Below are 26,496 nucleotides of genomic sequence, written 5' to 3'. Positions count from 1 at the left end.
TAGAGATTTCAAATGCTTTATTGAAAGAGAGAAAAACATCATTTTCCTCCTTTCCCAGTGTTTGTTTTTGACCCAGCAGTGGCCACTGCAGCACTGCATCCAGGAGGCTCACCATGCTAGATACTGGATCTAAGGAGTGCTTTTTAGCAGACAGAGAGGTAAAAGAGAAAACAAGGGTTAGAATTTGAGATCTCCTACCAATGAGCCACACAGGAAAAAGCAAGGTTTTCTTTTCTAATTCTTTAAGAAAACACATATTTTTCCTGTCTCTGGGGACCCATGGCTGTCTGGGGATGGTGTGTGTGTTGCCTCATCTGCCTTTCTATGTGGTGTCTCCCTGTGCAAAGCTCTGGTGATGGCTCGCTTGCTGGGGTTAACGCAATGTCTCCACCACTGACCCCAGGCAGACACAGCTTCATGAGTCAGTAAAGGCTAGCCTTCAGAGGCTATTAAGTCCCAGAGAGGGGAAGCCGAGAAACATGTCTCCTCTGCTTGATGGCAGTGTCATGTGCAGGATGTTTTCCTGGCTCCAAAGTTAACCATGCAGCTAATAAGCTGGATTCCAGTGAAAGGGAAGTCTGCGAGTCACTGATAGAAAACACTCTCTTCGTTGGTCACAGTGTTACACCCTTGAGAGAAAAGAAAGCAAATATTCCTATAATCTGCCTGCTGTAAAAAAGGCAATGATTAAATTTTTAGTGGTGTTTGGCGGCCAGTTCCTTTGCGAAATTTTCTCTTACCATAGTTAAAATCACGGCTACCATTTATTGAGTCCACCACTATGGACTAGGAACCAGGATAAGCACTTCAGACACACATTCTCCCATGATCCTCAAACCATCTTATGTTCTGGATACCATTTAAGTGACGAGCAAACAGACTCAGTCAAGGTTCCAGCTGTGACCTTACACACACTGGCAAATGATGGAGCCAGGTCAGTCTGATCCCAGAACCTCCTAATCATGATGATACTATCAGATAAACAATGTCCAAGTAAATGCAACAATCACCCACCCCAATCTGAGCAGTAATATTTGTGCTGAATGTTCTGTAATAAAATCTAATAAAAATTATCCTGCATGGTCTTCCACTTCTGCATACCACATTTAAAAAAAAAAAAAAAAAAGCTACTGTCTGACTTCCAGGTTTGATTCTCAACTCTTATGGAGTTCCTCTCCCCAGCACCCAAATTAATGATATTATTTGTATTAGTCACTAGGCTAATCTAGTGCTCTATAGGAAGTCATAATTGCTCTCAGCTGTTAAACAAATCTCTAGGCTTATATCAAGATCATTGCCAATTAATCCTTTAAAAGTCATTAAAAATAGGAAAAGCTCAGCCAGGTGCCATGGCTCACGTCTCTAATCCCAGCACTTTGGGAGGCCAAGGCAGGTGGATCATGAGGTCAGGAGATCCAGACCATCCCGGCTAACACGGTGAAATCCCGTCTCTACTAAAAATGCAAAAAATTAGCTGGGCATGGTGGCAGGCACCTGTAGTCCCAGCTACTCAGGAGGCTGAGGCAGGAGAATGACGCGAACCCAGGAGGCAGAGCTTGCAGTGAGATCGCACCACTGCACTCCAGCCTGAGTGACAGAGTGAGACTCTGTCTCAAAAAAAAAAAAAAAAAAAAAGGGGGAAAGTTCCAAAAGACCAAAGACAGGAAAATATTGAAACTGTGATAATGAAATTTCAGATCAATTTTGTGGTATCTAGTGGACAAGATGGAGAAATAACATATTAAATAACTGACATTAAATGCTTGACACTATGATAAACCTTCACTATAATTTATCTTAGCCCTCACTTCAAGGTAGATATTCCTCCACTTTACAGATGATGATAGTGAGGTTCAGAGAAGTTATTATACATAACTTTTCCAATGTTGCCCTACTAAGTGAAGAGCTTCAAAATTGGTGCTATGGACTGAACATTTGTGTCTCCCCAAAATTTGCATTTTGAAGCCTGAATCTCCAATGTTAGGGTCTTTGGAGATGAGGCCTTCAGGAAACAATTAGGCCATGAGGGTTGAGGTGTCATGATGAAATTAGTGCCCATATACACATACAAAGAGACATGAGAGAGCTTCCTCTCTTTCTGCTCTCAACCATGTGAGGGTAGAATAAGAAAATGGCCAACTGCAAGCCAGGAAGAGGATGTCACCAGACACCTGCCAGTGCCTTGACCTTGGACTACCCCAGCCTCCAGAACTACGAGAAATACATTTCTGTTATTTAAATCACCCAGTCCATGGTATTCTGTTATAGCAACCCAAACTGAATCAGATATGTGAGTAGCAACTATAGATTGAGTTGTGGGAAGAATCAGCTGGTTGAATCCAAAGTCAAAGAGTGTTGATTAGTAGATGGGTATTCATCTCAGAGCAAAATTTGTGATGGGGTGCTGGAGTATGCCGTCCTTGTCTTTCTTATTCATCTTCATGCTTATCAAAATTATGGGCACTAAAAATACCTCTAACTGGCAAATTCAAAATTACATCAGAGGATAAGTGAGCTGCAGTGAAATTAAACTGTTACATGTAGATTTACAAAGCCAATTACGTAGCTATCGTGTGGAAGAAAATTGGGCAAATAATGACTCATTTAAAATTTTCCTTTAAAAGCTAAAACAGTCTTAGGCTCCATTAGTAGATCCATCAGGGAGACTCTTATTCTGCATATGGAGTGTTGAGACTAAATCTTTGTGCTGCATTTTTTATTATACTTTAAGTTTTGGGATACATGTGCAGAACATGCAGGTTTTTTACATAAGTATACACATGCCATGGTGGTTTGCTGCACCCATCAACCCATCATCTACATTAGGTATTTCTCCTAATGCTATCCCTCTCCTAAACCCCTACCCATTGACAGGCCCCAGTGTGTGATGTTCCCCTCCCTGTGTCCATGTGTTCTCATTGTTCAACTCCCACTTACAAGTGAGAACATGCTGTGTTTGGGTTTCTGTTCCTGTGTTAGTTTGCTGAGAATGATGGTTTCCAGCTTCATCCATGTCCCTGCAAAGGACATGAACTCATCCTTTTTATGGCTGCATAGTATTCCATGGTACATATATGCCACATTTTCTCTACCCAGTCTATCATTGATGGGCATTTGGGTTGGTTCCAATTCTTTGCTATTGTGAACACTGCTGCAATAAACATACGTGTGCATGTGTCTTCATAGTAGAATGATTTATAACCCTTTGGGTATATACCCAGTAACGGGATTGCTGGGTCAAGTGTTATTTCTGGTTCTAAACCCTTGAGGAATCGCTACACTGTCTTCCACAATGGTTGAACTAATTTACACTCCCCACCAACAGTGTAAAAGCATTCCTGTTTCTCCACATCCTCTCCACCATCTGTTGTTTCCTGACTTTTTAATGATGACCATTCTAACTGGCATGAGATGGTATCTCATTGTGGTTTTGATTTGCATTTCTCTAATGACCACTGATGATGAGCTTTTTTTCATGTTTGTTGGCCACATGTCTTCTTTTGAGAAGTGTCTTCATATCCTTCATCCACTTTTTGATAGGGTTGTTTTTTTCTTGTAAATTTAAGTGCTTTGTAGATTCTGGATATTAGCCTTTTGTCAGATGGATAGATTGCAAAAAATTTCCCCCATTCTGTAGGTTGCCTGTTCACTCTGATGATAGTTTCTTTTGCTGTGCAGAAGCTCTTTAATTAGATCCCATTGTCAATTTTGGCTTTTGTTGCCATTGCTTTTGGTGCTTTAGTCATGAAGTCTTTGACCATGCCTATATCCTGAATGGCATTGCTTAGTTTTCTTCTAAGGTTTTTTATGGTTTTAGGTCTTACGTTTAAGTCTTTAATCCATCTTGAGTTAATTTTTGTATAAGGTGTAAGGAAGGGGTCCAGTTTTCATTTTCAGCATATGGCTAGCCAGTTTTCCCAATACCATTTATTAAGTAGGGAATCCTTTCCCCATTGGTTGTTTTTGTCAGGTTTGTCAAAGATCAGATGGTTGTAAATGTGTGGTGTTATTTCTGAGGACTCTATTCTGTTCCGTTGGTCTATATATCTGTTTTGGTACCAGTACCATGCTGTTTTGGTGACTGTAGCCTTGTAGTATAGTTTGAAGTCAGGTAGCATGATCCTCCAGCTTTTTTCCTTTTGCTTAGGATTGTCTTGGCTATACAGGCTCTTTTTTGGTTCCGTGTGAAATTTAAAGTAGTTTTTTTTCCAATTCTGTGAAGAAAGTCAGTGGTAGCTTGATGGGGATAGCATTGAATCTATAAATTACTTTGGACAGTATGGCCATTTTCATGATATTGATTCTTCTTCCTATCCATGAGCATGGAATGTTTTTCCATTTGTTTGGGTCTTCTTTTATTTCCTTGAGCAGTGGTTTGTAGTTCTCCTTGAAGAGGTCCTTCATATCCCTTGTAATTTGTATTCCTAGGTATTTTATTCTCTTTGTAGAAATTGTGAATGGGAGTTCACTCATGATTTGTCTGTTTGTCTGTTATTGGTGTATAGGAATGCTTGTGATTTTTGCACATTGATTTTGTATCCTGAGACTTTGCTGAAGTTACTTACAGCTTAAGGAGATTTTGAGCTGAGACAATGGGGTTTTCTAAATATGTAATCATGTTATCTGCAAACAGAGACAATTTGACTTCCTCTCTTCCTATTTGAATACCTTTAGTTCTTTCTCTTGCCTGATTGCCCTAGCCAGAACTTCCAATACTATATTGAACAAGAGTGGTGAGAAAGGGTATCCTTGTTTTCTGCCAGTTTTCAAAGGGAATGCTTCCAGCTTTTGCCCATTCAGTATGATATTGGCTGTGGGTGTGTCATAAATAGCTATTATTTTGAGATACATTCTATTGATATCTAGTAATTGAGAGTTCTTAGCATGAAGGTGTTGAATTTTATCAAAGGCCTCTTCTGCATCTATTGAGATAATCACCTGGTTTTTGACATTGGTTCTGTTTATGTGATGGATTACATTTATTGATTTGTGTATGTTGAACCAGCCTTGCATCCCAGGGATGAAGCCAACTTGATCATGGTGGATAAGCTTTTTGATGTGCTGCTGGATTCTGTTTGCCAGTATTTTACTGAGGATTTTCGCATTGATGTTCATCAGAAAGATTGGCCTGAAATTTTTTTTTTGTACCTCTGCCAGGTTGTGGTATCAGGATAATGCTGGCCTCATAAAATGAGTTAGGGAAGAGTCCCTCTTTCTCTATTGTTTGGAATAGTTTCAGAAGGAATGGTACCAGCTCCTCTTTGTATCTCTGGTAGAATTTGGCTGTGAATCCATCTGGTCCTGGGCTTTTTTTTTTTGGGGGGGGGGGGGTGTTAGGCTATTAATTACTGCCTCAATTTCAGAACTTGTTATTGGTCTATTCAGGGATTTGACTTCTTCCTGGTTTAGTCTTGGGAGGATGTATGTGTCCAGAAATTTTTCCAGTTCTTCTAGATTTTCTAGTTTATTTGCACAGAGGTGTTTATAGTATTCTCTGATGGTAGTTTGTATTTCTGTGGGATCAGCAGTGATATCCCCTTTATCATTTTTATTGTGTCTATTTGATTCTTCTCTTTTCCTCTTTATTAGTCTGGCTAGTGGTCTATTTTTGTTAATCTTTTCAAAAAAAAAAAAAAACAGCTCCCAGATCCGTTGATTTTTTTGAAGGGTTTTTCATGTCTCTATCTCCTTCAGTTCTGCTCTGATCTTAGTTATTTCTTGTCTTCTGCTAGCTTTTGAATTCATTTGCTCTTGCTTCTCTAGTTCTTTTAATTGTGATGTTAGGGTGTCAATTTTAGATCTTTCTCGCTTTCTCCTGTGGGCATTTAGTGCTATAAATTTCCCTCTGGACACTGCTTTATCTGTGTCCCAGAGATTCTGGTACATTGTGTCTGTGTTCTCATTGGTTTCAAAGAACTTATTTATTTTTGCCTTAATGTTATTTACCCAGTAGTCATTCAGGAGCAGGTTGTTCAGTTTCCATGTAGTTGTGCGGTTTTGAGTGAGTTTTGTAATCCTGAGTTCTAATTTGAATGTACTGTGGTTTGAGAAACTGTCTGTTATGATTTCTGTTATTTTGCATTTGCTGAGGAGTGTTTTACTTCCAATTATGTGGTCAATTTTAGAATAAGTGCGATGTGGTGCTAAGAAGAATGTATATTGTTGATTTGGGGTGGAGTGTTCAGTAGCTATCTATTAGGTCTGCTTGGTCCAGAACTGAGTTCAAGTCCTGAATATCCTTGTTAATTTTCTGACTTGTTGATCTACCTAATATTGACAATGGGGTGTCAAAATTTCCCACTATTATTGTGTGGGAGTCTAAATCTTTTTGTAGGTCTCTAAGAACTTGCTTTATGAATCTGGGTGCTAAGTGGGGTGTTAAAGTCTCCCACTCTTATTGTCTGGGAGTCTAAGTATTTTAGTAGGTCTCTAAGAACTTGCTTTATAAATCTGGGTGCTCCTGTATGGGGTGCATATATATTTAGGATAGTTAGCTCTTCTTGTTGCATTGATCCCTTTACCATTAGGTAATGCCCTTCTATGTCTTTTTAGATCTTTGTTGGTTTAAAGTCTGTTTTATCAGAGACTAGGATTGCAACCCTTGTTTTTTGCTTTCCATTTGCTTGGTAAATATTCCTCCATCACAACCAACTTGTGAGCTGGTTAACTTGGTAAAGGTTAAGGTAAACTTCCTATGCATGTCTTTGCACATGAGATGGATCTCCTGAATACAGCACACCAATGGGACTTGACTCTTTATCCAATTTGCCAGTCTGTGTCTTTTAATTGGGGCATTTAGCCCATTTACATTTAAGGTTAATATTGTTATGTGTGAATTCAATCATGTCATTATGATGCCAGCTGGTTATTTTGCGCATCCGTTAATGCAGTTTCTTCATAGTGTTGATGGTCTTTACAATTTGGTATGTTGTTGCAGTGGCTGGTACCAGTTTTTCCTTTCCATATTTAGTGCTTCCTCCAGGAGCTCTTTTAGGGCAGGCCTGGTGGTGACAAAATCTCTCAGCATTTGCTTGTCTGTAAAAAATGTTATTTCTCCTTCACTTATGAGCTTAGTTTGGCTGGAAATGAAATTCTGGGTTGAAAATTCTTTGAGAATTTTCAATATTGGCCCCCACTCTCTTCTGGCCTGTAGGGTTTCTGCAAAGAGATCTGCTATTAATCTGATGGGCTTCTTTTTGTGGGTAACCCGACCTTTCTCTTTGGCTGTCCTTAACATTTTTTCCTTCATTTCAACTTTGGTGAATCTGATGATTATGTGTCTTGGGGTTGCTCTTCTCAAGGAATATCTTTGTGGTGTTCTCTATATTTCCTGAATTTGAATGTTGGCCTGTCTTACTAGGTTGGGGAAGTTCTCCTGGATAATATCCTGAAGAGTATTTTCCAACTTGGTTCCATTCTTCCCGTCACTTCCCGGTACAACAATCAAACGTAGGTCTTTTCACATAGTCCCATATTTCTTGGAGGCTTTGTTTCATTTCTTTCTTTTTTCTCTAATCTAAGTTGATCTTCAATTTGATATCCTTTCTTCCACTTGATCAATTCAGCTATTGATACTTTTGTATGCTTCACCAGGTTCTCGTGCTGTGTTTTTCAGCTCCATCAGGTCATTTATGTTCTTCTCTAAACTGGTTATTCTAGTTAGCAATTCCTCTAACCTTTTTTCAAGGTTCTTAGCTTCCTTGCTTTGGGTTAGAACATGCTCCTTTAGCTCGGAGGAGTTTGTTATTACCCACCTTCTGAAGCCTACTTCTGTCAATTCGTCAAACTCATTCTCCATCCAGTTTTGTTCCCTTGCTGGTGAGACGTTGTGATCCTTTGGAGGAGAAGAGGCATCCTGGTTTTTGAATTTTCAGCCCTTTGGCGCTGGTTTTTCCTCATCTTTGTGGATCTACCTACCTTTGGTCTTTGATGTTGGTGACCTTCAGGTGGGGTTTCTGTGTGGGCATCCTTTTTGTTAATGTTGATGCTATTCCTTGCTGCTTGTTAGTTTTTCTTCTAACAGTCAGGCCCCTCTGCTGCAGGTCTGCTGGAGGTCCACTCCAGACCCTGTTTTCCTGGGTATCACCAGCGAAGGCTGCAGAACAGCAAAGATTGCTGCCTGCTCCTTCCTCTGGAAGCCTTGTCCCAGAGGGGCACCTGCCAGATGCCAGCCAGAGCTCTCCTGTATGAGGTGTCTGTTGACCCCTGCTGAGAGGTGTCTCCCAGTCAGGAGGCAGTGGGGTCAGGGACCCACTTGAGGAGGCAGTCTGTCCCTTAGCAGAGCTCGAACACTGTGCTGGGAGAGCCGCTGCTCTCTTCAGAGCCAGCAGGCATGAACGTTTAAGTCTGCTGAAGCTATGCCCACAGCTGCCCCTTCCCCCAGGTGCTCTGTCCCAGGGAGATGCGAGTTTTATCTATAAGCCCCTGACTGAGGCTGCTGTCTTTCTTTCAGAGATGCCCTCCCCAGAGAGGAGGAATCTAGAGAGGCAGTCTGGCTACAGTGGCTTTGCCAAGCTGCAGGGGGATCTGCCCAGTTGGAATCCCCTGCAGCTTTGTTTACACTGTGAGGGAAAAACCTCCTATTCAAGCCTCAGTAATGGTGGACGCCCCTCCCTGCACCAAACTCGAGCATCCCAGGTCAACTTCAGACTGCTATGCTGGCAGCAAGAATTTCAAGCCGGTGGATCTTAGCTTGCTGGGCTCCGTGGGAGTGGGATCCGCTGAGCTAGACCTCTTGGCTCCCTGGCTTCAGCCCCCTTTCCAGGGGAGTGAATGGTTCTGTCTTGCTGGCATTCTAGGCGCCACTGGGGTATGAAAAAAAACTTCTCCAGCTAGCTCAGTGTCTGCCCAAACATCCGCCCAGTTTTGTGCTTGAAAACCAGGGTCCTGGTGGTGTAGGTACCCGCGGGAATCTCCTGGTCTGCAGGTTGCAAAGACTGTGGGACAAGCGTAGTATCTGGGCTGGAATGCACTGTTCCTCATGGCACAGTCCCTCATGGCTTCCCTTGGCTAGGGGAGAGAGTTTCCCAACCCCTTGCACTTCTCGGGTGAGGCAACGCCCCACCCTGCCTCAGCTCACCCTCTGTGGGCTGCACCCATTATCTAACCAATCCCAATGAGATGAGCTGTGTACCTCAGTTGGAAATGCAGAAATCACCCGCCTTCTGCGTTGATCTCGCTGGGAGCTGCAGACCGGAGCTGTTCCTATTCAGCCATCATCTGTGCTGCATTTTAAGGAGATTCCCAGACTGAGAATTTTCTCAAGCAATGCAATCAGAATGTCAGAGACTGTGGAAATCATGCCATGTTTTGTTGAATGATCTGAATCTAGAACAAATGAGTCTGAAAAGGAAAAGATTCAGGAAGATAATGTATGCCATTAAATATATAAAATAGAGATGACTTGTATGAAAAACCAGAATAAAAAAGACCTGCTGGAAGTTGTTTGGGAGAATTTACTATCCTCTGATAGGTCAAAGTGGTGAAGTCCCCTTGACTGGCCTAGCCCAGTGAGTGAGTGAATGAACAAATGAATAAAATGTTAGAGCAGAAATTAAATGATCATCTCCCAAGGGATAGCGTCCAAAGATTCCTGAATTTGGATGAAAGGCTGGATTGTCTTGAGTACATCGTCCTAATATTGGCAGACTGTCCAGTTGCTAAGAATCATTCTCAGGGACTAGGCCTCCTTTCAGTGATTTTAAGGAACCCCATACCAATGCCAGCATCCTATTCTAAGGTATCTCTTCCTGGACCAGGTATGTTAGACCCTCACAGGCTGAGCATATCAAGGAAAGACCTTTCCTTACAATTCCCTATCTTCTACATTCCCTAGCCTAGTGTGTTGCATTAACCCCTCACTGAGGGGCAAGCTGGGGACTGACCAAAGGTCATGTATTTCAAGTGAAAGTTTAGGAAGCTACAAAGAGGTGGAAGCTAGGAAGTCCCTGCAGATGCAGGGGACGCACACCAAATAAATGGCTAGGCAACAATTCCCCAAGTCATACCGCACCCCAACCCAGAGGAAAACTTGGCATTGGAGAGAAGCTGTGGAGCAACAAAGCAGATATGCCATGTCCCAGGCAGTGTTCCAAATACATTATATATGTTAATTCATTTAAATCTCCCAATAACTTTGTGGGATATTACATCCTTTTTATAGACTAGGAAACTGAAGCCAAGGAAGAGCTGACAACTTCCCCAAGATCACACAGCGAATAATGGTGAAGCCAGGATTAGAACCCAAGCAATGCAATCCTGGGCTCCTAATTAAGCACTTTAGTGTTTACTGAGATGTGAATTTGTACCTCAATCCCTTCTGCTTAAGGTGACACTACTTAGAGGCAGCTTCTGATGCAGAGTATATACTATGTGATCAATAAACAATTATCAAATTCAATTAGTACTTTAAATCATTTGGAACTTGTTGACAGTGACCAGGGTATTCAGAACTGGAGATCTCCGGATGCTTCTTCATGTTCTAGTTTAATTCCTAGCATGAAACTTTCATGTCCTCCACATTCCACTTTGTCTTTGTGGTTTTTATTTTATTGGCATGTTGTTGTTATTTAGCCTGGGGCATAAAGTCATTTATTTGGTCTTAGGCAAACCAAAGATAAATGGTGAGACCAGGTTCCAGCTTCCTGTGGTGCCTCATTTGCTGAAGAAGAAAAAAAAACTTGTGAGCTGGTTAACTTGGTAAAGGTTAAGTTAAACTTCCTTTACCAAAAAGGACTTCCTTTACCATCTACTTGGTGATCAAGCCTTTCTTTGATATCTGAATTAACCCTCAAAATAGTAAATTTAAGAGTGTAGTTGAAAGCCTAAAATTAAGAAAATCTCAGTTTTTAAGGGTTCAGAGTTGAAGGGGCCTGAAAATTCCATCCCCACCCCTGCAGGCTTCGTCCAGCTGGGGCAGGGCCTGGGCTTTGACACAACATGGTTACAAGAGCCTCAGGAGAGCAGCCAACAGATGTCCTGGAGGAACAGGAGTGGACTTCACAGGAATCCACAAGGCCCTGGCCTTCACTCTCAGTCCAGCTGGCTCTCAGTTACAAAAGGCAAATTCCACCAGCTGAATGAATCCCAGCAGCTGTGGTAGCCTGGAGGCTCCATCCTGTACAATACATCAGGCAGCCAGCCAGTTCTGAGCCGACTACTTTCTGTGTGATGAATCAGCCCCGGCCCCCAAAAGAGAGGCAGTTCAACATGTATGAGGTCCCTAGACTGTACGTATCCCTTCCCACACTGCTTTAGGCACTGAGAATTCATCAGTGGGCAGGCCAGAAAACACCTCTGCTCTTGTAGAAGTTACCTTTTCAATCTACTCTAAGGAAACAATCAGAAATATACCCCCAAAATTGCATATAATATTATAATAGCAAAATATTGGAAACGATTTGAACAACCAACAGTGGTCCACTGACTAAATTCTAGTATATCTATTTGAAGTCACAGAACTAACTATATAACATGATTTTTAAAAATCATGTTATATAGGAATACCAAATGATTTAGAAATTTTTTCAATATATCAAATGGGAAAAAAAGATTACAAAGCAAAGAGTACACTATGTCTCCAAAGTTGTGAACAAAAAAAAAAATGCTTATATGCACATGAAAATAAACTGGAAAGATACACACCAAAACACTAACTATAGCTACTTTTGGATGGTGGGATTAGTGGTGATTTTATATTCTTCTATGTTCTACAAAACTCTCCTCTTGCCAAATTTCAACAATAAATACACATGTCAGTCAAGTTCCGACTAAGAAAACAGCACATACCAGGTAGCTCAATATTAGGAATTTAATATGGAGAACAAGTTACAAAGCTTTTATGAGAGGTAACAGGAAACAATGAGGTAACAGGAAGCAATAGGGCAGTCCAGCAATTAGCAGAATCAAGAAGCTAGTACCAAGAAGTGGGAGAGAAAAGAGAAGAGGTGATATTAACAGAGCTAGTAGTCTGAGCCACTCAGTGGTATGTGTGGCTTTTGGGAGAGAAAATATAGCTACTTTTGGAACATCACTTGAAGCAAAGACGGAGGGGAAGAAATACCCTTGTTCTTCAGTACAGCACTTCACACCCTGCAATCCCCTGCAGTGCTTCACACCCACTAAGCCTGGAGCCAGTGGGGAAGGGAGCTGGGAAGTGAAGTCTGCAGTGGAAGCCACCTGCAGTTCAGAACAGTCAAAGATAAGAGTGGGGATGGATCTGAGAGCAAACACACAGGTGACTGGCACATTAGTTCTAGAACCATAAGGGGAAAGAAAAAATTTGATGCTTTTTTTTTTAAGAGAACACAAAAGTAGGACACATTTCCAAATGTTGTCTTCCTTCTGCTTGTAATTCAAGAACTTAAGATGCAACAAAGTCCTTGTTGTTTGCAAGCCATACAGAGGCATGTACATTGTCAGAATACACATTGTCAGACACTGAAGGTATCAGGGAAAAAATCAATCTGGGTTTCCTTTCTTGTTTTTCAGATTCCCACCTTCACTTTGCCAGTCACCTCTCAGCTGAGAGCCCTCAGCTGCTCCAGGTTTCCAATGTGGTGCCTCCTTGGGCCAACTCTTTCCTTTCTCTCCTCCACCCAAAATTCCCAAGCAATCCCTACCTATGAGTCACACCATACAAGTCCCATTTGCTTCCAGAAAATAGATGTTACTTTGAGAGATTTAGTGTTGAGTTTAGGGAAAAGGTGTATTTAAAACAACAAATTAGCTACTTTAATCATCCCATAGGGCATGAGTTTAGAGGGCTACAAATCTTTCAATTAAATTTAAATAGTTTTTACCAAAAACTTGAAGTTCACCCAAAACTGCAATTGGAACTATGAAACATACAAAGAAAATTAAAACCAGCTTCTTTTTCACAAGGAACAGATAAGAGGCTTTCTGATTATTCAAGACAAAAGTTCTGGAGTCTTCCTCATAAACAGTCAGTAAACCCTTCTGGTTCAACCTTCAAGATATATACAAAGTCTAGCCACTGCTTATAATCTCCTCTAAAGCAACTCTCCCAAGCCACATCATTCAACACCTGAATTGTTGCAATGGCCTCCTCACTGGCTTCCGACCTTCCACACTTGTCCCCAACCTCCTCACTCCCCACAGTCAATCCTCAACATAGCAGCCAGAGCGATCCTTTAAACCATAAGAAAACCTACATCAGTCCTCTGCTCACAACCTTCCAATGGCCTCCCATCTCAGAATAAAAGTCAACATCCTTTAAGTGACCCACGAGGTCCTAAGTGTCCTGCAACTCCACCCAGCCATTACCTCTCAGCCCTCACTGCTCACTCACTCAGCTCCTCAGAGATGCCAGGCCTACTCCTGCCTTGGGATCTTGGCAGTTGCGGTTGCCTCTGCCTGGAATATTCTTCCTCCAAACATAGGCAGGACTTCCTCTCTTACCTCCTTCATATCTTTGCTCAAGTCTCACCTTCTCAGGGAGACCCTTCAATCCTCTCTTTCTCCCGTTTCTATTTTTCTGCCTAGGCCTTATCAACTTCTAATATGCTGCATAATTTACTCAGTTATTTTATTGCCTCTGCCCTCCCACCAGAATAGGTAAACTCAAGAGGTGGGGTTTTTGTCTGCTGTAAACACTAATGTATCTCCAGCATTTCAAAAAGGGGCTAGCTCCTAGTAGGTACTCAACCAGTATTTGCTGAATGGATGCATGCTGGCACGTGTCTGAATGACAACAGCACAAGGCAGAGGTTGGTGTGGCAGGTCAGTGTCCCGGGCCTGGCAGAATCAGGTGGGTGGTGGGTGGGAGCCTAGGGAGCACTTCCTCTCTCCCCATCTAAAGGAAGAAAACATTCTCCCTATGATGAATCCTCTCACTCAGCTGCTGAACCTTGTTCCCTCAGCCTCCCCAGGAAACCTTACTTTATCATCCTTCTTTCTTTATAGTAGCCACGCTCTATTTTTTTGAGACAGAGTCCCACTCTGTCACTCAGGCTGGAGTGGCACAATCACAGCTCACTTCAGCCTCGACCTCCCAGACTCAATCGATCCCCCCACCTCAGCCTCCCAAGTAGCTGGGACTACAGACACATACTACCATAGCCTGCTAATGTTTTTAATTTTTTTGTAGAGATGGGCTCTCACTATGTTGCCCACTCAGGTAGGCTCTTTCCAGTGGTTCTTTTCCTTCACACTAAAAACTTGCTCATATGTCCCCAACTTACAGGAAAAGAAAGAAAAAACTCTCCTTGGATCCTACACCCTCTTCACCTATCCTTTGGACTTCCTCCTGTCACAAAGTCCTAGAAAAAGCTTGTTTCTCATTTTTTGGTTTTGTTCGTTTGTGTACTTATTAGCTCTACCTTTGCACCTCTCGTTTATTTCTCAACCCTCTGCAACCTGATGTCCATGCAGAGCAATCACTGGAATTGTGCTCATCTTTTTGTGGCCAAGTCCAATGAATATTTTTCACTCCTTCGCTTACTTGTCCTGTTTGTTTAATGTGTATCGAGTCTCCTTTCTGCATGAAACCACCCACTTAGTGCTTTTGCATCTCTAACTCCCCTGCACTCTTGAGTTCCTCCTGTCTCTCTGCACACCTCATATCCCCCAGCTCACACTTCAAGGATGGGTGCTCCCTGCACTTCTGTCCTTGGTTCTTATCTCTCCACATTACTCTCCCTTGCCAATTTCATCCATCCCCAGGGCCTCTATTATAATCCACATATTGATGATTCCCAAGCCTATCTTCACATTCCAGATCTCTCAGATTCATACCTGTATTCACTGCCTACTTGTATGAATCAAAAGCACCTCGCACTCCATATATTCAAATCTCATCACCTTTCCTCCTTTTGTTCCTCTAGCATTCATCTCTGCAAAGGGCCCTTCTGTCAGGTAAAACCAGATACTACAACTCACTCTTGATTCTTCCTTTTCTGTCAACCACCACCCAAATAATCCTGTCTAATTTTTTCATGTGTCACATATCCACGCCTTTGTCCCCAGACTCACTATTCCCCTAAACCCAGCTGCCAGCACTTCCTTACTATTTTCCGTGTCCAATACTACCCCTCCAACCTATTATCCGTCTGTGCCACAGTGATCTTTGCAAAGAACAACCCTGGCCAAGACCCTTACCTGGCTTCCCTTTGCTCAATATAAAAGCTTACTGGCTTTTATATTACCTCTCTATGCCCTTTTATATTACCTCTCTATGCCCTTGTACCCTTAACTCCCTCTTTCCCCCATCTTTACTTTTTGATGAATTGCTGGGACCCTGATGAACTACTTGCAGTTTCTCCACAGAACAGGCTTTCTGTTACATCTCTCTGGACAGGCCACCCCACCTGGTCCAGTGCATAACAGTTATGGGATCAGGCTCTGGAGTGAACAATTATGGGATCAGCCTAGATTGGCTCCACCAGCTTACTAGCTGTGTTATGTCGGGCAAATTAATTATCCTGTGCCTCAGTTTCCTTATCTGCAAAATGGAGGCTAGAATAACAGTATCTATACCATAGGGCTACATATAACATACTTAGAACAGTTCCTGATACATAACAAATACTCTATGCATAGTAATTATTATTATTAATACTTATTCATCGGACTATCTCTTATTTGCCCAAGCCTCTAGAAAGATTCTACTGACCCCTTAGGTCCAGATTAGGACTAATCCATACATTCTTCTATCCTAGCACATCTCATACTCCACTGTTTATATGTCTGTCCCTCCCTCCACCCCAAAAAACTATGACCCTGTGACGGCAGGAACTCTCTCTTACTAATCTTAGAATTCCCAGCACCAGTTCAATGCTTAACAAATAATGCATTCAGATTAAGTTTGTAGAATGAACAGATGAATGCATGGATAGTCATGGCATGTCATTAACGTTTGCTCAGGCATTTACAGGGCTCGAAACACCTTCACATATTTCTCTCATTTGTTCCTCACATCAATCCTATACAGTAGGCAAGACAGGTATGATTATTATCTTCATTTTCTTAAAGGGCATTCAAGTTTAACTATTGAAGTAACTTGCTAAAGATTATAAAGCTGATCAATGAAGAAGCCCACCCTGGGAGCAAGGTCTTCTAACTTCAAATTCTGCTCTTTCTTCTCTACAACAAACAGAATCACCACTGGAGAATTACAAGGTACACCTGGGATGCATAGAGCTATGAATGGCAAGCAAGAGAGTTTTGAATTTCAAACATGGCATCAGCCAGTGTACACACAGCAAAGAGAATGCCCCCAAAGAAAGGGAAAGATTAAATCTTAGAAATAGCTTCTGCATTCAAGGCCAGCGTGGACAACATAGCGAGACCCCATTCCTACAAAAAATTTAAAAATTAGCCAGGCATGTTGTCACATGCCTGTAGTCCTAGCTACTCGGGAGGCTGAGGTGGGAGAATCTCTTGAGCCAGGAATTAAAGGTTGCAGTGGGCTGTGGTCACACCACTGCACTACAGCCTGGGCAACAAAGTGAGACCCTGTCTCAAAATAAGAAATAGCTTCTCCAACCTCAGTGTTGAATCAAATCAATTTAGGTATTGTTTTCAGCAGCTAGTAAAAGAGGCCTGAATATAGTGTCTTCAATAAACAAAGAACATGTATCTCATTTGGCGGATCGCAAGGTCAGGAGATCAAGACCACCGTGGTTAACACGGTGAAACCCCATCTCTAGTAAAAATACAAAAAATTAGCCGGGCGTGGTGGCGGGCACCTGTAGTCCCAGCTACTTGGCAGGCTAAAGCAGGAGAATGGCGTGAACCTGGGAGGTGGAGCTTGCAGTGAGCCAAGATCGCTCCGTCTAAAAAAAAAAAAAAAAAGGTCAGAGTTACACAGCTTACAGGTGATGAGGAGGCACCACAGTTCCTGAGAGCCTGGCTCTATATTTCTACTGCACCACCTTATGTGTAGGAGGCAGAACTCAGATGGTCCCAAATTCCTGCCCCTGGTGTTCAGAATAGTCCCCTCCCTTCCATCACAGGCAGGACGGTGAATAAGATGGATCTTACCACCATGATTAGGTTACATTACATGACAAAGTTGAAGAGGCGTTGCAGATGTAATCAAAGACCAAAATCAGTTGACTTTAACTTAATTAAAAGGGAGAATATCCTGAGTGGGTCTGATAACCAGGTGAGCCCTTAAAAGGCACTGGGCTCATCCTAAAGAAATTACAAGGTAGCTTTTGAGCCTTTCTAAGAGAGATTCTCCAGTTGGCCTTTAAGAAGAAAGCAGCCATGTGGGAGGGGCCATGAGGCTAGGATGTGAGGGCAGCTCCAGGGAGCTGCGTGGACCCCCATCCAACAGCCCAGAAGAAAACAGGACCTCAGTTCCACCACTGCCAGGAACTGAATGCTGCCAAAATCTGAATGAGCTTGGAAAAGGGGCCCAAGCTCCAGATGAGAGCACAGCCCAGCTGATGCCTTGATTTCAGCCTCGCAAGACCTTGAACAGAGACTCCATCCTCAGACTCCAAATCCACAGAAACTGTAAGATGATAAATGTGTTGTTTTAAGCCACTAAATTTCTGGTAATTTCTTATATAGCAACAGAAAATTAATACACTATAGATACTATACACTAATACCCCATAGGCGCTGTGCCCTAATGCCCTATTAGGCCCTGTGCACTAATACCTTATAGGTGCTATACGCTAATGCACTATACTTCTATTACCAAGCACCTCATGGTGCAAGTCAGCTATGGAAATCCCACCATCTGCATGCCAGGTTACAGGAAAGAAGGGAAAAGGCTAAAAGGGAGCTGCTCTGCACTCAGTTATCTCCTACTTTTAAGCAGCCTCCTCTGCTTAAGTCCCCACAGAACTTCACTTAGTTCTCCTAAGCCAGACCTATGTGGCTAAATCTAACTTCCCAGGAGACTGGAAAGTACACTCTTTAGTGAGGCACTTTGTGACCCCCAATAATATAAGGAAGGGAGATGGGCCACCAGGGGGGCCACTCTCATAGAGACTGCAGCTCTGAGATGGCAGGGACTTACTTGCCCATGTCTTTGAGCTCTCTCACGGCCAGGTCTGGAATATTCTGACCCCTATACCATGTGCTCTGCATCGCCAGCAGACTTGTGGGAGACCAGAAGCACTGATCAATGGCCTGATGCCCCTTCCTCCACCTTCTCTACTGGAATCCTTCCCGATTGCCTTTCCTTCCTGTGACCCTAAGCACAAGTGCTAGTCACACCAGACCCATTGACACTATCCACTCTCTCCTTGGAAGGGAAAGCATCACTTGACCACTTTAGAGCAGAATTTTAACTGATTGGAGCTGAAAATAAAAACGACCAAGGTCTAAGGGTAAACTCTGGGGGTTGGGGAAAGGAAGTCATGATTCTATAGGAAAAAAAAAAAAAAAAACGTGATTTCGAGCTGTTGAATCCAAGAGATGGGAAGAGATTTTAGTAATGTCATGGAGGCAAACGGAACCAGATTGAGCAACCACTGGAAGATAGGGCACAGCTGAGAGCAGAGCTGACCTTAAGACAAAGTATGTATAGGACAAAGCAGTTCTGCTAACGGAGACTAGGAAATTGGGCACTAGAAGAACCTGAGGGGAAACTCAGCCCATCAGTCATGCTCAGCAGGAGCCAAGAGCCACTTAACTGGGCAGAGGCATTACAGATGCAGCTGGAAATTGTGCAATGATAAGGAAATGGGGAGTAAAAGAGTAGTTACGGGAGTTGTTCACAAATAGAAACGTGAACAATATCTTGGGTGCAATAAATACCAATTGCTTAATCACTCTGTGGGGTGAAACATTTTGCAATGGATATGAGTTATCATTGTTCCATCTATGCAGTTACAGAATAGCAATTCCCTCATCACTAATGAGAACTCTGGGTGAGTTTCCAGAAGACTTGATACATTTCCTGGTCTTTGATGACCTTGTAACACCAGATGTTCTTTTAACTCCAGGTATTCCCTTCAGAAAGTAAATTCCTTTCAAATTCCTTTCCACCAATGACAAACCATATATACAACAGTGCTCCTCGTAAGATTATACCACCATATTTTTACCATACCTTTTCTGTTTAGGTATGTTTACATGCAAAAATGCCATTGTGTTACAATTGCCTACAGTATTCAGTTCAGTAACATGCTGTACAGGTTTGTAGCCAAGAAGCAATAGGCTATACCATCTAGGTTTGTGTAAGTACATTCTATGATGTTCACACAATGACAAAATTGCCTAGTGATGCATTTCTCAGAATGTATCCCTCTCATTAAGCTACTCATGACTGTATGTGTGAAAGAATAAAATGACGCCACCTTTTCGTGAATCTGGTATGGTATGCTGCAATTTTCAAAAATTAAACGGCCCAACCACGCCTCCATGCACTATCTCTATAAAAGATTGTTGTAAGTGAACATCACTTCCTAACTACCAGTAACCAAATATTATACAGAACATAGAGTGGAATTGCAAAGACTGATAAAGTCAATACTTAATAAACATACGATCAGCTCCACACAATAAAAGCAAAAACTAAGAGAAAGGCAGCCAGGGAGTAGTTAGGAATACAGGTTCGGAAGTCAGAGAGCCTGGGTTTGATCTCAGTTCCGGTGCTTAGCAACCTAGTTCAGCAACTTGGATCATTATTTGACCTCACTAAACCCCAGTTTATCTATAAAACGGGATAATAGTAGTGCCTGCCCCATAAGGGCATTGTGTGCCTAGTAAATAAAATAAGGCATTCCAAGCCCAGCACAGCACCCGGTTCATAAATATTAGCTATTATTATTCAGAGGATTTTTTTTTTTGTTATGTCTCTGAAATCCTAACCTGTAATTCCAATCTGCTTACTTCCTTCCATCTAACTCCACAGGCTACAGCAATATCCAACAGCCCCCATATATTACTGAAATGGGAAGGCATCTTATAAATTGTAAATCCAGCCAAGGTTGTACAACCAAGGATGTATCAGACCCTCTGGGCACCCGTGGTGTTGAAAAAGTGTACCTAGTTAAGAACCACTGCCTTGCTCTGAATGTCTCACTTTACAGAGGAGCAAGCTGAGGAGGCCCAGTAGCATGAAGAATCTTCTGGGGTCACAAGACCATTTTCAGAATCTCCTCTTGACAGACCTGGCTCAGACCTCAAACTGGGAGCCAAGTGTCTTGACTCTGATTGCACAATTTTGGCACTCCCCCGGGTCGTCTTATGAAATTCAACGAGCATTTCCTGAGAAACCACAGTAGGGGTCAGGAAGGAAAACAAGATGGAAACCCCGCCAAGAATGGCATCGCGATCTCATCAGGGAAACAGGCATTGGCGGCGTTAAGAATTCTAAAAGAAGTGCCAACAAAGTGCTAAGAAGTCTGAAGTGTTGCCGCTAACTCACAAAACTTTCATGAAAGAGGTGGAATTTCTACTGGACTTAGAAGGCTAGGGATTGAAAGGAGCCATTCTGGGTAAAGTAAATCATTCAAGCAAAGGCCCCGAGGTTTCAAGAGAGAAAGCTCATGAGAGATCTTACAATCTTCTTGAACAGACAAGGAGATAAACCACAGAGCTGAAACATCTGGGTTCAGAAAAAGCCAATAGTCTGAAGTATCTTTTAGAGCTGCAAAGTGATAAAATTCTTCCACTGTCTCTTCCCAAATTATCCACAGAGCATCTGCTTTCTGCCTGCCTCTGGTTCTGAAAGACTGAATGCCAGAGAGAGGAGTTGCTAGAACAGTTCATGTGTGGGATCCCACTCTGAAGACATTAAGAATGGAGAGGCTCAATTCTCATTCCTTGTAGAAGTAGAAGCCAACAGGAATACAGCCAGCCCCTCTACTCAAAATCTAAGGAGATGATGTGGGAATGAAAATGACAATTCCCTTCATGATATTTGATCCTACATGAAAAAAGTATAAATTTCCAATAATTCTTAGTCTATTTTGCTCTGAAGTTTCAGTAAACAAATAACTACAGCTTGCCATCATGATTTAAAGCTATTGAAACAATAGAAATAATACTATTCAAATTTTCTTTACAACCTTACTAAAATGTTAAAAACAGGTTTGGTGTAGATAAATCCTCCCAACTTGTTCTGGTTAGCTATTGCTGTGTAACAAACCACTCCCAAACTTGATGGCATGAAACAATTATTTTATTATTCTCGTGGATTCTGGTTTTATCAGTAGAGGGTCTTTACAGCAAGTTGTCCAGGTTCTTAGCGTTCGGAACAAAGAATTGGACAAAACACAGCAAAGCAAGGAAGAATGAAGCAACCAAAGCAGAGATAGAAAAGTGAAAGAAATAGAAAGTGAAAGTGTGGGAGCAGGCCCCAGCAGCAGCTCAAGGGCCCCTGATACAGAATCTTCTCAGGGCCAAATACCTCCTAGAGGTTTCCCATTGGCCACTAGGCGTTCACCTCATGTAAATGAGGTGGTGGCCCACAATCAGTCTGATTGGTTGCGGAAAGCAACCAATCAGGGGCTGAAGTGAAGTTATAAAGGTCACACTCCCATGCAAACGTCTGATTGGTTGTGGGAAGCAACCAGTCAGAGGCTAAAGTGAAGTTACAAAGTGACACTCCTATGCAAATGTCTGATTGGTTGCAAAAAGCAAACCAATCAGAGGTACTTTCAATCTCCCATCTGCTGCAGAAAAGGTGGGGGTTTGCAAAGGGAGTAGCCTCTGCAACTACTTTTGTTACTTAAGCCTGGAAAGTTAGGGTTTTCCTTTCAATTCAGTTCTAGGAAGTCAGCGTGAAATGGCCTTAAGTTTCCTGCCTCTAGACCCTATTCTTCTGCCTCACTGGTAGGTTAGGAATTTGAAGGGGATACATCATAGATGTCATATCCCTGCTCCATGTTATCCGGGGCCTGAGCTGGGGACACTCAAAGTGTGAAAGCATCTCCATCCACTGTTGGGTGATGCTGGCTGTCAGCTAAGACTTCAGGTAGGCTGCCAGCCAACCTACACGTGGCCTCTCCTCCACATAAGTGGAACAGGGCTTCCTCACAGCACTGAGGCTGGGTTCTAAGCATGAGTATCCCAAGAAAGCAAAGACAGGAGAAAACGTCACCTAGGTCCAAAGGGAGGAAACAGACCTCCCAATGTGGGTACTGTCAAGATCACATTGCAAGAAGAGTGTGTGGGAGAAGAGAACACTGCAGTCTTCTTCAGAACATATAACCTGCCACACATCCCAAGTAGTATTCTATATCCACCTGCCTATGCCTGAAACTGACACCACCATAAAAGGAGCAACCTGTGATGATAAAGCATTCCCTCAGCAGGATTTATTAGTTTAGTTTAAAAAATTTCAAATAGCACTTTACACCTGGCAAATCCCCTTCAGGGTATTCACAATCTCCCTGTGTGGTTGTTATTCTCCCACTACTCTATAAATGAAAGGCCGGAAATTCAGAGAAGTTATATGAGTTCAGCAGACACCTTTGGGAAGTTAAGGATAGACTCACAATTTGAACTCAGAACTTCAGACTCTAAAGCCTATATTATTTTCACACTTCCTTTCAAGTGAAAATAGGTTTATCTAATAACAACCAATAAATACCAAATGAATTAACAAATGGATAAACACTAGACTCTGAAATTATTTTAGCAGAAATTCTAGCATTTATCAGAGTCCTGTGGAAATGGGACACTAACTAGGTTAGCTCTGATGAAACAAGAACATCTTTTTAGAGAGTGAGCCTGAAGAGATGCCTTGGTAGAAACCCTGAAAGCCAACGCCAACTAAGATGGGGAGGGACTCTGTCAATGCTGAAGTTAAAATTGTGGGTGCCCCCCAAACTTTGCCGCAAAAAGCCTGTGAGGGTGGGCATTTTTCTTTTTTTCCATTTTCAATAATAACGTAAAGATGCCACAGACAATTTAAATCATTCCCAATTGTGACATAGATAAACTCTTCTAAGAGGATTAAATATTCTTGGAACACTGAAATAGCTGGTTTTCACATTTAATTCTTGGAGTCATTTTTCCAACTGCAGCCTGTTAATTAAAGTATAGCTTGTCTAATCTAGAATATGAATGATTTCTTATCTTCTGTTCCCAGCACGACTCCCCAGTATTATTGTAGGAGACATCAGATTAAACTTGAGAAAAATAATCTGTATCATTTTCAGAATTAAAAATCTTGGAAATTAATTCTCTGAATATTAGTTCTACCTCAATGACATTGCCCAATGAAAAGAGAACGAATAATTTAAGATTTCACTATTACCTTTAAAATGTAGTTAGGAAGTAATAAACGAAGAAGTAAATTCTCAGTTCCGCAAATGTTCCAAGAATTGGCAGAGTAGGCATAACACTAAAAATCTTCAAGTTCTAAATAGATGTAAATCAATATGGAAGAATAAAGAATAACTTTTAGATTTCCAGACTACCACTATTTTTCCCTAAAACTTTTCTTTCAGTGTCCTTGCTTTGCCATTAAAAGTTCTCTAATGTTAAATGGGTTGAATAACCATCATTTATATCATTTCAGTATTTATAAATCTGTCCCAGATAGGTACTGGAGCACAGAGGCCAATTCATATTTCATATAATTCAACATATTCCTTTTTATTTCTCTAACAGAAAAATAGTAACTCCCAGGCTGTAATCTCCTTTTTAAAATGGGCCATTAATGATTTACAAGGGTGGTTTTTGTTTTTTGTTTTATATTTTTTTTAAAAGGAAGAGAAAACCTTTCATGAGTAGTCTTCCAGGCTGGCTTTTTCCAAGAACTAATATGAAAAAGGTATAAAATATGGTGAATAAGAAAAGCCCAAGCCCAACCTCTCCTCTTGGCATTCTGGTCCCTTTAAAATCTGTTCTTTACTTGCTTTTTCTATCACTTCTTTCCCACCACCCCCTATCCTTCCTTCTTCAGCTCAAGAGAATTCTTCTCCAAATCCTTTCTGGACCAATGTGTGAGTCATTCTCTTCTGCTTCTCCATTTATGAGACCGCTACTCCTCCTCCAAGGTCCAAATCAAACACTGTCCTTGGCTGAAACATCCTCTAATCCACCCAGGGGTTGATAATCACTCTAACCTCACCTAACAAATATAATACAACACTTATTTCATTCTGGTTTTTAAGTGAAATCAGGCTTATTAGGAAAGTAATAAAGAATGGCCACTCCATAGGCAGAGCAGCCTCTGGTTGAATTTTAAGTGGTCATTCTTTACACATCTGCATCCCTAAATGAGTTGCAAATTGCAAACTCCCTGAGGAAGGAAGCCCTGTATTGTTCCATGGTTATATCCTTTCACAATGCATAGAATAGCTTAAAGGAAGCTCTCAATTTTACTAAAAATAGCTGATATTTATTGATCACATACTACTTATCAGTCTTAGTTAAGCATTTAAAGCACTATTTCAATTAATTTTCACAAGAGCCATATGTATAAATATCATCTTTCACACTTTATAGAGGAGGAAATGAGATCACAGCATTTAAGGAGCTTTCCCGTCATGCAGTTAGAGACACTAGGATTTGAACCTGAGTATTTGGATTCCACAGCCTAAACCCCTACTCTCTACTTTCCACTTGATAGTTTAAATGAATTAATTTAATTTAAAGAAATTCAAGAATAGCATAGATTATTCATTAAAAATGAAGTTGTAGAATGGGCGGAAGAAGTAGTTCTGTTACCGGTAGAGGGTCTTGACTCCAAGTTGGCCAGGTTCTTGGCATTTTGAACAAAGAATTGGACAAAACACACAGCAAAGCAAGGAAAGAATGATACAACAAAAGCAGAGACTTATTGAAAGTGAAAGTACACTCCACAGTGTGGGAGCCGGCAGCGGCAGCAGCTCAAGGGCCTGGATATAGAATCTTCTCAGGTCCAAATACCCCCTAGAGATTTCCCATTGGCCACTTTGTGTTCACCTCATGTAAATGAAGCTGTGGCCCTCAGAGACTAAGGTGAAGTTACAAAGTTGAACGTCTATGCAAACAAAGACTTTGCTGGCGATCAGTCTGATTGGTTGCTATCTGCAACCAATCAGAGGCTGACGTTACAAAGTTACACTCCTATGCAAAAAGCAACCAATCAGAAGTACTTTCAATTTCCCATCTGCCATGCAGAAAACGTGGGGGTTTGCAAAGGGAGTAGCCCCTGGTCCTTTTGTTACTTAGATGTGCAAAGTTAGGGTTTTCCATTCAATTTAGTTCTAGGAAGTCAGTGTGAAATGGCCTTAGGTTCCCTGACTCCAGACCCTATTCTCCTGCCTCTCTTCCATTTGCTTATGTATTATTTTTGTTGTCTAAAACATAAATGAGGAGTCTCTGGAATTTCATCTTTCATAAGCCAACACCTCGATTTTCTTAAAACAGATTTTTTTTCTTATACATTAGTCAAAGTAAATTCATCTTCCCTTATATCATGACACCACCAGGAGTATTAGCAAAGCATAATAGCAATTGTCTTACTCAGATGTACAATCATAGAACATAAAAGATAAAACATTCTTCCTTTTAAATTCCTTATAACTCTCAAGTGATAAATAAGGGAGTAAATTTGGATCAAAAGAAGGGTTCAAGCTATATCTATACAGCCAAATCACTAAGTCATACGTCCAACAGGCTAATTATTATGTATTTTTTAAATATTTTACCATTCATATTGGCCAAATCAATGTAATTGATTCATAAATGCCAGCAATCCCTGTGTTGGGAATGATTTTTCCATTTATCTACTGATGCGCAAAGTCCTAGAACAAGAGATAAATTAAGAAACATTCAACTTTCTTGTCTCTCCAATCCCTTCTCAACATTGTTGCTGGCTTTCTGAGACACAACCTTAAGTGAAAAGAAGTGAACTTCGACCCATACCTTTCACCTTATCCATAAATTAACTCAAAATGGATCACAGACCTAAATGAAAAACCTAAACTATACACAGATTTCCAAAAGAAAATTTAGAAGAAAATATTTACAGCCTTGCTTAGGTGAAGATTTTAGAAAATATACCCAGAGGTTGTAGTGAGCCTGGGTGACAGAGTGAGACTCCATCTCAAAAAACAAACAAAAAAGAAAATATACCAAAAGCTGGACCACAAAAGAAAAAAGTATAAACTGGACTTATCAACATGAAAAGCTTCTACAAGACACTGTTGAGAGAATAAAAAGATAAACCACAGACTGGAAGGAAATATTTGTAAAATACATATAAGGGACTTGTATGCTGAATATATAAAGAACTCTCAAAACTCAACAATAAGGAAAAATAAAACTGGGCAATAGATTTCAACACACACTTCACCAACAAAGATATATGGATGGCAAAACACACACACACACACACACACACACACACACACACACACACGAAACGTTTTCAATATCACTAGTCATTTGGCCAAAAAAAAAAAAAAAGTAAAACCACAGTGAGATTATCATTTCATATCTATGAAAATGGCTCCATTTTTTTTAACTGACAATATCAAGTGCTGACAAGGATACAGAGTAACTGGAACTCTCATATGTTGCTAATAGGATTGGAAAAGGGTACAAGTACCTTTGGAAAACAGTTTGGCAGAT

At 41.4% G+C, this 26,496-nt stretch overlaps 1 long non-coding RNA gene across 1 annotated transcript, besides 1 other annotated feature; it reads right to left on the bottom strand.

The window, feature by feature from the left end:
* LINC02450 (long intergenic non-protein coding RNA 2450) lies at positions 1-24,904 on the bottom strand. Its single transcript, NR_135028.1, has 4 exons — positions 24,844-24,904; positions 23,189-23,292; positions 9,134-9,342; positions 1-629 (listed from the first exon to the last, which is right to left on the bottom strand). It is a non-coding gene; the product is annotated as a long intergenic non-protein coding RNA 2450 (long non-coding RNA).
* Positions 21,333-21,412: a silencer, noted in NCBI's record as "silent region_4368". NCBI's record gives its function as "represses an Ori minimal core promoter by ATAC-STARR-seq in GM12878 lymphoblastoid cells {active_cell/tissue: GM12878}" and the evidence as "EXISTENCE:reporter gene assay evidence [ECO:0000049][PMID:35858748]".
* Positions 24,905-26,496: the final 1,592 nt, after the last annotated feature.

Source organism: Homo sapiens, chromosome 12, assembly GCF_000001405.40.
Source record: "Homo sapiens chromosome 12, GRCh38.p14 Primary Assembly".
Lineage (NCBI taxonomy): Eukaryota > Metazoa > Chordata > Mammalia > Primates > Hominidae > Homo > Homo sapiens.
Note: the sequence above shows the minus strand (reverse complement) of the source record. Positions and strands in the feature narration are given on the sequence as shown.